Source organism: Homo sapiens, chromosome 2 (genome assembly GCF_000001405.40).
Source record: "Homo sapiens chromosome 2, GRCh38.p14 Primary Assembly".
NCBI classification, from domain to species: Eukaryota; Metazoa; Chordata; class Mammalia; order Primates; family Hominidae; genus Homo; species Homo sapiens.
This window is the reverse complement of record NC_000002.12, coordinates 211778100-211791060: the sequence shown is the minus strand read 5'-3', so window position 1 is coordinate 211791060 and position 12961 is coordinate 211778100. Positions and strand designations below refer to the sequence as shown.

At 36.4% G+C, this 12961-nt stretch overlaps 1 protein-coding gene and 1 pseudogene across 10 annotated transcripts in view; one reads left to right on the top strand and one right to left on the bottom strand.

Annotated features, from left to right (window-relative positions):
- Positions 1 to 12961, top strand: part of ERBB4 (erb-b2 receptor tyrosine kinase 4) — a 1163086-nt gene that overhangs the window by 747742 nt on the left and 402383 nt on the right. For 5 of the 10 annotated variants that reach the window (XM_017003581.3, XM_017003578.3, XM_017003580.3 and 2 more), the window contains exons 4-5: positions 2902 to 3036; positions 9526 to 9603. In XM_017003581.3, coding sequence (XP_016859070.1) covers positions 2902 to 3036; positions 9526 to 9603 — 213 coding nt within the window. The remainder of the gene's footprint in view (positions 1 to 2901; positions 3037 to 9525; positions 9604 to 12961) is intronic. The other 5 variants (NM_001042599.2, NM_005235.3, NM_001439006.1 and 2 more) reach the window with 1 other exon arrangement.
- Positions 11298 to 12788, bottom strand: MTCO1P46 (MT-CO1 pseudogene 46; annotated as a pseudogene).

The window sequence follows — 12961 nt, the reverse complement described above, 5'->3', positions numbered from 1 at the left end:
TATTTTCTCACAAAAATATGTCAAATTCATATTTTAAAAATGTAAAGTTACAAAATCAATGAAAACTTTAAGAATATATGTAAATGCCATTATAACATTACTTTCTGACACATATTTAGGTAATCAAATTAATCAAAAGAAAGTGTAAGACTGTACATTAAAACTGTCCTATAAGTGTCAATGAAATTCTACATTCTCTGACTGTGAGGCTTTGACATTCAACAGCAGAATAGGGTGTATACCAAACATAAAGGAAAAAAGAATATTTTCAAGGAAAACAAACAATACATAAATAAACTACCCATCATTAATTGCTAAACATTTATAAATCCTCCTGACCAGAATTGCTAGCAGATGCTGAGTTTTGAATTAGGAATGATAAAAGTATCATCTGGATTGATCATGTGTCTTAATTTGAAATGTTAACGTGTAAGATTATGCTGGATTTATTATTGTCTCCTTTCTAAATCCCTTTTCCAAGTATAAGCCAAGCTCTCGAACAGACTATTTCTAAGAAACAAATGTCAACATTCATAGCAGATTAATACTGTTGAAGAAAGGGATTTGATAAGACTATTATTCAGTATAATATAATCTGATTCTATTTGAAAAATTTTAGATAGGAAGTTGGAGATGGATACTGTGTTCCTTTGTATGAACTATTTGAAATACAATGTGACTCCTGAAAAATATACACTCTTTCTGCAATGTTTGAGCTATTACCTTTTCACTTTTTTTTTTAAGTAGAACTTTTCTAAATGTAGACTGAAAAATAACCTTTATTTCCTGGATAGCAGTCAAAATCTCCTTTCTTTGTCACCTAATGGAAAATTATTCCTAGAGCAGAAGAGCATCACCTAATGTCTCATGAGAAAGCTATTAGTATGAGATCATCACATTTCGTAGATAAAAACTTAATGCCAAACATTAATGTAGAAATCCATTTCACAATCTTTCTTACGTCTTACGTCTCCCTTCTGCTTTGATGAAGGTTGTATGGTTAGGTCATAAAAAATAATGAACTGGGTTTTAGAAGTAGAAAGATGATCTAATTTCTTTTCTTTTTTTTTCCTCACCGACAAAATGGAACCAATAGTCAGTGAAATGACTGATGATGAAAATGGGAGTGATTTTAAATGTAGAAAGAACTACAATATCAAAACTAATCTGGAGGGTTTCGTACATGCAATGCAGTAAGGCACTTGGGATGTGACCACCAGTCCACAAATAACCCTCTTGTGGTGTGACACGTTCCTTTCATTTATCTCTCTTCAGTTGAAGATGACTCCTACAAACTTAGCTTGGGGTTCCACACAAGAGAGATGAATTTCTCAAGGCTACCGTGGGAGATGGTGTCGGTTGCCTTCCCAATATCCATGTCCCTCTTCTTCCTCACTAACACCCCTGCTGGTCTGGGTTTTGTCCCAGTAGCAATATTTCCACCTCAATAGTTACTTATTCAATCTCTCTTGCGGTAGAGATAACCATGGGATATTGTTCTGGCCAGTTAAATGCAGACATAATCCTCAAGGAGAGCATTTCTTCTCAAATAAAAAGTCACAGCTTCACTAGGAGGAAGTCTCTTGCTTGCTCTTGTGACTTCATCCTGCCTGCAATTCAGAAGGACTGCAGTTTAGTTTTTAGATGTAGCAGCCATCTTGTGCCTGAAATGAATAAAACTGACACACTGAGGATGGCAGAACAGATAGTGGGCACTGCGGAACAGCTGAACTAATATCTGCAACTGCCTCCTATAGGTTTCTTATGTGAAAAAAGAAATCCCCTATCTCTATAAACTGTTGATTGGGTTTTGATTAATTGTAGTTGAACACTTTATGGACTGATGCATGATTTCTCTTAAATTGCTTTTGTATTGAACAGGAAGGGGAAATGTGGTACATATTGGGCTGGAAGGTGCTATGTGTATTTGTAGCTAATTTCTTCAAATAATAAGAATAATATTTTCAGAGGATATATTTCAGTTTTTATTTTCCTGGATAACTTAAAGCTATCCGAAAGAGAATTCATTTCTGTGGTCAGTCATTGTTTGTGGAGGACAAATTAGCTAATCAAGGCCAGTGTTGTGAAATAAAGAATCAAGTACAAATTGGCTTTAGTGCATGTTATCCCACAGCCGTATCCTTACTTCAGTGAACCACAGGATTTGTTATACATTGCTTTGTGTTGTTAAGAATAATTGGCAATCTTATCGATTTCATTTGAGATGACAACATTTTTGTGATTGAGGCATTAATTTTAGCTTCCACTTTGTGCTAATTACTTACCTACTGACTGCAGTCAATGTCACCTTGACTGAAACAATCTCTCTAAGGATAATATGACAATTGATACCAAATATCTTAAAACTATCCACACTCTATGACCTTGGAATGTCATGTGTGGAAATTTGTTGTAAAGACCAATGAGAGATAAATAAGTTAAATTACCAACAAGAGAGGATTGGTTAAATAATTACCATTTAATTTATACTATGACATATCCTGTTCTCATTAAAATACAGAGTAGTAATTACCATTAAGTACTCACTACATAATATTAAACTAAACAAGCAGGTTATAAAATATTATATAAAATATTATTTCAATTCCAGGGAAGAAAACAGATAAAAGACTGTAACATTTATACCAAAATGTTAGGAGTGTTACTCTCAGAGTGTAGAATATGAGTGGTTGTTTTTCACTTTTGTAATTTTTAATCTTTTCAAATTCCTGTAATCAATGTATATGATTCATTGAAAGATATTTTAAAAGATATCTTGGCTATTAGCAACATGACTCTAATTTAACATTGAAAATAGTTAAGAGCAAATCACTTTTGTTGATTACCTTTTCATCAACAAGCAGTTTGACAAAAAATTTGTTTATTTGTTTTTTAATACAGAAATCCTAAATGGTGGAGTCTATGTAGACCAGAACAAATTCCTTTGTTATGCAGACACCATTCATTGGCAAGATATTGTTCGGAACCCATGGCCTTCCAACTTGACTCTTGTGTCAACAAATGGTAGTTCAGGATGTAAGTAGAATTATTCTTTTTAATTTCTCAAAATGTTCTACCCTATGTGGCGATGAATGAGTTATGCTTATTATGTCATTACTAATATTTTGAACTTTGATTGCATTCATTGAAATGTTCAGTTATATATGGCAGAACAAATGGCTGATCAACCTTTTACTTCTAGCTAATTCTCTTTTGGAAATCATGTTTCCTCTTCACAAATTCTCATTTTGTTAACATGTTCCTCTTTGCTTAATTTAAATTACTTTATCATACTTCCAATGTACAAATGTGTGTTCCACTATCCACAAACTTAAGGCTGGTATCTAACTATTGCTTCAAGTCTCTGTGACCCATATCCCATTGAGACAAAGGTAGTAGAACAAAAATGTACCTTCCTATTCACTATAATTTTTTCAATAAAAAAGTAAAAACTAGTGAACATTGAGAATTCTTAAGCCTTCATTTGCCCCTGAAGCCTTCGTGGTCATACTTTATGATAATTTCAAACACTTATGGAATGGAGAAATATAGATTTCATATAGAAGAAACATGTTACAGTCTGATTTTAGTCATTAGTCGAATAAACTACTGAATTTCTCATTCTTAAAATGTGTATTCTTTCTACCACAAAGAATTTATCAGATTTAAAGTGTTTAATATGATTTAATAATAAGCAAGTAATATTTGAACCATGATTTAAACCTTTGAAAATTATTCTGTCTGGTATCTGTTTCATTTTCATAAAGCAGGCTATGTGATCCCCACATTTATTATTACTGACATTTGTATGAAAACAGAATTTTCATCAAGTGTTAACCTGGGTTTTATATTTCTCATCTATTATATATTTCCCACCTGAAATCATAACTGTCTCAACATAGTTCAATAATTATTTGCTATATTACTGATTGTGTTATGACATTTTTGTGAAAAATCAAACTCCAAGGGACAATTATTAAATTTCATCATGGCCCTAATAATATAATGGGAAATATGAATGTATTTGATCAAAACTGACAGCTGTGTTTTTAATAAATGGCTAAAACTTTATGTAAAAAGTAGAGTAACATAATTTTCTTGTCACCTTTGAACAGAAATTTGTATGGGATTTTCCCTTTATGGCATTCATGTTGCCTACTTTGTAAAATTACATGTGAGAAAAATGGAATCTTTTCACATTAACAAGACAAATGATGTGTTTCAGAAATGCCTTCTGTTTTCAGTCTGCCCATGCTATTGCACATATTATATTGGCAGGGTAGTGGTGGGGAGGTGTGGATATTGGTTGGGTAAAAGGAAAGACCTGCTGACTCTCAGCTTATCAGACTGACTGGTCTGTAAGGCATGAATAAGATCGTGCAAGAATAGAGCCTGAGACAGAAGCCAAAAGGGAAGTGTGCCCACCAGCCTTACAGAATTTGGAGCAGGAAAGGTCTGAGGGGTTTGCTGCACTTTCACAGATGGTGTCTCTTTGTGCTATTCTTTTTGAAGACAAATTTGGATGGTTGTGCCTATAATTAGGCAACTGTGGCTGTATTGTTTTTTTCATGTAAATAATTGCAGGTGCAAAAATTATAAATGCAGAGTAGAGTCATAACCAATGGTCTTTTACAAATTAACTACCAATTGATTGCCAAAGTTTTATTATTTACATAGTAGTTTTATTTGCTGACACATTATATGTACTGCATGACACCATAGCTATTAATAATGAATTGACTGTTTTTTGACTATTATGGTTTTATCTTTAGTCAATTTATTTCTCTGTCTTCTCCCCAGAGGTAATCTCAGACACTCTCAGGGTTTTAAATGCAACCTCTAGGTTGATGACTCCCTAGAACTACATACCACCAACCAATCACTCAACCAAGTTAAAAATTTGGGGGGTCATTATTATCTTTACTTTCACTTGGCTCTTGGGAGTTAATCACCGAGTCATCCTGATCTTTGCCCATTTCTTGATTTTACATATTTATTATTATGATTGCCCTAGTTCAAGACTTCATCTGTCTAAATTACTAAAACAAACTCTGAATTTTTAATATTTTTTGAGGCAATGGACACTGTAGCATCCTGGTGAAGCCCATTGACCTCTTCTCATAATATTTTTAGAAGAAAAAATGAGCACAAAACAAATACTTTAATTCATGAATGCATAGCAATCAATAAATACATAAAATGAATTACAATGGATTACAAGGAAAATAAGTTAGGTTGAGATACATTTATCAAAATGCTTAAGAAACAGATACCTAATATAGTAATATGCTTATTCATACATTAAATTAAAAATATTAGCAGTAGGATTAATATCTAATATCATTTTCAAGCAGTGATAGGCATAAATAATATATTTTAAAGGGAAGTCTCTTCAACAAATGGTGTTGGGAAAACTGGATATCCATGTGCAAAAGATTGAACTTGGGCCTCATCATATGCCATGTTCAAAAATTAACTCAAAAGCGAATTACAGACCTAAGCATAAGACTTAAAACTATAAAAGTCTTGGCAGAAAATATAGGGGGAAAGCTTTATGACCCTAGGTTGAGCAATAAATTCGTGGATATAACACCAAAAACACCAACAGCAAAAGCTAAAATAGACAAATGGGACGATATTAAACTTAAAAACGTCTGTGCGGCTGGGGGCGGTGGCTCACGCCTGTAATCCCAGCACTTTGGAAGACTGAGGTGGGCGGATCACGCGATCAGGAGAGCGAGACCATCCTGGCTAACACGGTGAAACCCCGCCTCTACTAAAAATACAAAAAATTAGCCGGGCGTGGTGGCAGGCACCTGTAGTCCCAGCTACTCGGGAGGCTGAGGCTGGAGAATGGCGTGAACCCAGGAGGCGGGGCTTGCAGTGAGCCGAGATGGCACCACTGCACTCCAGCCTGGGGACAGAGTGAGACTCCGTCTCAAAAAATAAAAAAAAAAAAAAAAAAAAGGCTGTGCATCAAAAGGTACAATCAACAGAATGAAAGGTAACCTATAGAAAGGGAAAAATATTTGTAAATCATGTATCTGATAGGGAATTAATATCCAGAATATATGTAGAACCTGCAACTCAATAACATGAAGCAAATAATCCAATGAAAAAGTGAGCAAAAGATTTGTATAGACATTTCTACAAGATGGTACACAAAGGGCCAACAAGCATATAAAAAGATGCTCAACATTACTAATCATTAGAGAAAAACCAACCCCAAAATCATATCAAAACCACAATAAGATATTGTCTCCCACTTATTAGGATGTCTAATATTAAAATATAAAAAAGAAAATAACAAATGTGAGGAGGTGAAGAAATTGGAATCCTTCTTGGTGGGATTGTAAAATGGTGTGACCACTATGGAAAATAGTCTGGTGGTTTCTCAAAAATTAAAAATAGAATTATCATATGACACAGCAATCCCACTTCTGGATATATATCCAAAGGAATTAAATGCAGGTTCTCAATGAGATATTTGCATATCTATGCTCATAGCAGCATTATTCATAATAACTGAGAGGTGGAAGCAACCCAAATGTCATATATGGATGATTGAATAAACAAAATGCAGTATATACATACAATGATGAAATATTATCCAGCTTGAAAAAGGAAGGAGATCTGGTCACATGCTACAACATGAATAAATCTTGAGGACACTATGCTAAAGGAAATAAGCCAGTCACAAAAACATAAATACTGTATGATTTCACTTACATGAAGTAACTCAACTGTCAAACTCAAAGAAAACAGAATGTAGAATGGTGGTAGCCAGGTGTTGGAAGGAAGGCTAAATGTCCAATTGCTCTTTAACGAGTCAAGTTGCAATTGCTCAAGGTTGAAAAAGTTCTGGAGATCTGTTGGAAAACAATGTGAATATACTTAACATTACTAAACATACACTTAAAAGTGGTTAAGATGGTAAATATTATGTTCTCTTTTTTTAACTGTAATTATGAATAAATCAGGAAGAAGTTGAATCCCCGAATAGACCAATAACAGGCTCTGAAATTGAGGCAATAATTAATAGCCTACCAATGAAAAAGTCCAGGACCAGATGGATTCACAGTCTAATTCTACCAGAGGTACAAGGAGGAGCTGGTACCATTCCTTCTGAAACTATTCCAATCAAGAGAAAAAGAGGGAATCCTCCCTAACTCATTTTATGAGGCCAGCATCATCCTGATACCAAAGCCTGGCAGAGAAACAACAAAAAAAAGAGAATTTTAGACCAATATCCCTGGTGAACATTGATGCAAAAATCCTCAATAAAATACTGGCAAACCGAATCTAACAGCACATCAAAAAGCTTATCCACCATGATCAAGTGGGCTTCATCCCTGGGATGCAAGGGTGGTTCAACATACGCAAATCAATAAACGTAATCCAGCATATAAACAGAACCAAAGATAAAAACCACGTGATTATCTCAATAGATTCAGAAAAGGCCTTTGACAAAATTCAACAGCCCTTCATACTAAAAACTCTCAATAAATTAGGTACTGATGGGACGTATCTCAAAATAATAAGAGCTATTTATGACAAACCCACAGCCAATATCATACTGAATGGCCAAAAACTGGAAGCATTCGCTTTGAAAACTGGCACAAGACAGGGATGCCCTCTCTCACCACTCCTATTCAATACAGTGTTGGAAGTTCTGGCCAGGGCCATCAGGCAGGAGAAAGAAATAAAGGGTATTCAATTAGGAAAAGAGGAAGTCTAATTGTCCCGTTTGCAGATGACATGATTATATATTTAGAAAACCCCATTGTCTCAGCCCAAAATCTTCTTAAGCTGATAAGCAACTTCAGCAAAGTCTCAGGATACAAAATCAATGTGCAAAAATCACAAGCATTCTTATACATCAATAACAGACAAACAGAGAGCCAAATCATGGTGAACTCCCATTCACAATTGCTTCAAAGAGAATAAAATACCTAGGAATCCAACTTACAAGGGATGTGAAGGACCTCTTCAAGCAGAACTACAAACCACTGCTCAATGAAATAAAATAGGACACAAATGGAAGAACATTCCACGCTCATGGATAGGAAGGATCAGTATCATGAAAATGGCCATACTGCCCAAGGTAATTTATAGATTCAGTGCCATCCCCATCAAGCTACCAATGACTTTCTTCACAGAATTGGAAAAAACTACTTTAAAGTTCATATGGAACCAAAAAAGAGCCCGTATCGCCAAGTCAATCCTAAGCCAAAAGAACAAAGCTGTAGGCATCATGCTACCTGACTTCAAACTGTACTACAAGGCTACAGTAACCCAAACAGCATGGTACTGGTACCAAAACAGAGATATAGACCAATGGAACAGAACAGAGCCCTCAGAAATAATACCACACAGTTTGGCTCCCGAATCCATTCTCTGAACTACACCATCTTCTCTGATGAGAAATCATTGTTTCTCTATTTTTCCATATTAATGTTCTTGTATATTCCTATTTGCTTAAATTTTAGAGGGCAACTTATTTACATCATGGCACTGCTGCTTACCAGCAATTTGACCTTAAGCAAGTCATCTATGCCCTCAGTCACTCTATCTCCTTACCTATAAAAGACAGAGAGTGTCAAGAGCTGAGCTGAGCTGAGCTGAGCTGACAGCTAAGCTGCTAGGTGACAGTGGTCAATTCAGACAAGCAAAAATGAGGATAACAGTCAAGCTTTTAATCACTTACTGCAATAGTTTATTCCAAAGGCTAAACCAGAAAAAGCATCAACTTCACAGTCTCATGTTTCTTCCATAGAACAGTGCCAGCTGAGGGTCAGATGGATGAGTGCAGACATGGGGAATTGTTTCACTGAGGAGGGAGTGGCAAAAAAAATGGTTCTGAAAGTTTTATGAACCTGGAAGCTTGAAGGAGAGAGGGGTGGGAAGGCCTGAGTGAAAAGTACTAAGTATGGAGTCAGAGTGGAGAAAAGGTGTCTTCCAGGCCCCCTTACTTCCTCCCCTTAAGGAGATTTTAGTGAAAGCACCTAAGGAAAACCGCTGTCAAAAGACCTTAATAAAGAGGTCTATGAATAGCGTACCTGGGCCAGGATGGGAGACATATATGAGACATGGCTGGTCAGCAAACCCTGAGTGTCTTACTGCAACCCCCTTAGAGACTGCAGTGCATTGACTGGGCACCAAGTCTGGCGTGGGAGGACAGCTTTGAAGCCCCAGGAGGCCTGCCAGGTAAAGTAATTGTCTGTGCTCCTGCCTGAAAGATTACACATAGGTTTTTCTTTTTTTTTGCCCAGGAGCTGTTATTATTATCAACTTCATAGGGCTATTACGAGCAATAAATGAGTTAATGTGTCAATCCAAGGGTGATTTCTTATGACAAAAGAATAAAGGACCTTGCAATTATAATTTTTATATGAATTGACCATATGAGGACAGAAGTATTTTTAAAATATGTGACAGTTACATTTTCATTATATATTCATTGACATTTAACTATGTTTCTACATTTTAAGTGTGTTTTAGTAACTAGAAGGTTGTCTCTCATAGGTTTAGCTCATCAAGACACTGAGAAGAACAATCCTCAGCTGCTCCAGTCCCTACAACCTTTTTCTTTGATTACGCCAGGTACATCACTCATTCTTAGTTGCTTTCTAGAACCAAATACCAACTAACAACTGAAGTGGGAGAGGGGGAATTGGCAAATTCATAGATACCACTATAATCATGAACATAATTCCAGGACTAATTACTTGTTTAACCAGATGTTCTGCCTGCATTCATTCTGTCCATGTTTTAAACTTTTTTTTCAGTGACTTTTACATATCATAGTAATGACCCACTCCTAATTAATATTGCACTTTGTATTACATATAACTAGCTTTCTTGAAATAGAATTCTCGAGATAGAGTACAATTAAACCTCATCTATTACATTACCAACTTGTGTTACTCCTTCTATATGAAAATATTTAGGTAAAATAGATGTGCCTTTCTAAGGTATTGTGTAGTAAAGCAAAAAATAAGAAATAAAAAAGTAGCAAGAAAATTTACCCTCGATGTATTTTAGTACAGCTTCAGTTTGTGTGCATTAGACATACAATACATCTAACTTTGCATAAATGTATACACAGAATGAAATCACACTGTTTTCAAAAGATATTTTTAAATAAAACCCTAAATTATGGAAATGGGAATATATGAAAAACATCAGACATGGAAAGGATACATTGAATCTGTATGAATCCAAAAGATCATTTTTCTAAAATACCGATAAAACAGATTTTTATGGACCTGTTTTAATAAAACAAAAAACAAAAGAACTTAAGATCACTTATGAATTCAGATGCAATTTTTCTGAATAAAATATTAGCAAAGAGAACTAACAGAATCTAAAATGTGTTTAAAAAAGAATGCACTAAGATCAAGTGGCAGCTCAGCTGCCTTTTTAATGCTGTTTTGAGAAAGTAAGGACTTGCACCTGACCCACACCATAGAAGGCCTTTGACACTCTATTTATAAGAAGAGGCTTTCCAGGTCAACTGAAACTCACTCTAGGAATTAAGTTTTACTAAGAACATTACGGAAGCAAGCACAATACACCTGCTAGCCTGGTTTTCTTGTCTCTTAGTTCCTTGAGATGAAAATGTATTGTTTCACTTTTTGAGTACAGTTTTCAATATACATCTTTATTTTCTTTTCTTTTGTTTATTTTTTATTTTTTTAGACTGGGTCTTGCTCTGTCACCCAGTTGGAGTGCAGTGGTGCAATCACAGCTCACTGGAGCCTCGACCGCTTGGGTTCAGGCAATCCTCCTGTTTCAGCCTCTTGAGTAGCTGAGACCACAGATGCATGCCACTACACCCAGATAATTGTTTTTTACTGTTTGTAGAGACAGGCTCTCCCTACGTTACCCAGGCTAGACTCCAACTTCTGGGCACAAGTTATCCTCCCGCCACAGCCTCACAAAGTGCTAAGATTACAGGCATGAGCCACTGCGCCCAGCCTTCATTTTTATTATATATGATAAGTTCCTCTCAAACAACCTTTTGCCAAATTGTGTGTGTGTGTATAATTATAAAAAATAATTATAAGGGCGTGGTCATGGAAAGTGAGTACTTCTTCTGTAATAGGAGATGTGGCATTTTGAAGGCCTAATTGAACTGGATGAGCCATTGAGACATATAGGGTTTAGCCTATAAATTAACTCTGACAAAGTTGTGTAACAATTTTACTGATATCTTATCGAGAGAGTCATAGAGGTTATGGGATGGGCTTGAAACCAGTTTCTGGGAGTTTGATTCCTTCTTTTCTCATTTAGGTTTTCCTTTAGGCTGGCTCTTCGAATGTGCGGTAAGGTGGTGGACAGCCATAAAGCCGCTCTAAATTAGCAGATGGTTGTTCAATTGTTAGTACTTTTCGTTTTGAAGCAAAGGCTTCTCAGATCATAAAGATTATTAGTATAACTGCTGTTAGTGAGATAAATGACCATATGGATAAGATAATATTTCACGTGGTGTATGCATCAGGATAATCAGAGTAACGTCAAGGCATACCGGATAGACCAAGGAAGTGCTGTAGAAAAAGGTTAAATTAACACCTATGAATATAATGGTGAAGTGGATTTTAGCATAGGTCTGACTAAGTGTATAGCCTGAAAATAAGGAGAATCAGTGGACAAAGCCTCCTATAATGGCGAGTACTGCTCCTATTGATAGGACATAGTGGAAATGGGCTACAACATAATATGTGTCATGTAAGGTAATATCTAGTGATGAATTAGCTAATAAGATGCCGGTTAAACCTCTACTGTGAAAAGGAAAATTAATCGTAGGGCACAGAATGTTGCGGGAAATCATTTGATGTTACCGCCATGCAGGGTAGCTAATCAGCTAAAGACCTTGATGCCAGTAGGGATAGCAATAATTATGGTAGTAGAGGTGCTGTATGCTCGTGTGTCTGCATCTACCCCTACTGTAAATATATGGTGAGCCCATATGATAAATCCTAAGAAGTCAATTGATATCATGGCTCTATGCCCATGTATCCAAACGATTCCTTTTTTCCAGAATAATATGTTACCATGTGGGAGATTATCCCGAAGCTTTGTACCAGCAGAATACATGTTGGTACAAGATAAGGTCACCCCCACCAGCAGGGTCAAACAAAGTAGTGTTGAGGTTATTGTCAGTTAATAGTGTAGTAATGCCAGAGGCTAGGACTAGAAGGGAAAGGAGTAAGAAGGACTGCCGTAATGAGGACTGATCAAATGAAAAGGGGTGTTTGATATTGGGATATAGCTGGAGGGTTTATGTTAATAATAGTGGTAATAAAGTTAATGGCCCCTAAAATAGAAGAGACACCTGCCAAGTGGAGCGAGAAGATGGTCAGGTTCACAGAGGCTCCTGCATGTGCTAGGTTTCCTGCTAAAGGGGGATAAACTGTCCAGCCGGTTCCAGCGCCGGCTTCCACTATTGAAGACGCAAGTACGAGTAGAAAAGATGGGGGGAGAAGTCAGACACTCATGTTATTTATCCGGGGGAATGCCATATCGGGTGTACCAATTATCAGAGGGACTAGCCAGTTGCTGAAACTCCCAATTAGGATTAGTATCACCATAAAGAAGATTATAACGAATGTGTGGGCGGTAACAATAACATTGTAGATCTGATAATCTCCTAGCAGAGTTCCTGGTTGGCCTAGTTCTGCTCAAATTAGGAGGCTTAAGGTAGTGCCTACTATCCCCGCCCTTGTGCCGAATAACAGGTACAGTGTTCCGATATCTTTGTGGTTAGTTGAAAACAATCAACAATTGGTGAACACAGGGGGGCGGCGGCGGGGGTATAAAATGGCTGAGCAAGCATTAGACTGTAAATCTGAAGACAGAGGTCAAGGCCACTGTTCACCAGCCCTGAAGTGATTTCTCATGTTGAATTGCAAATTCAAAGGAGCAGCTTCAATCCTGCCGTGGCTTCTCCTGCCTTTTT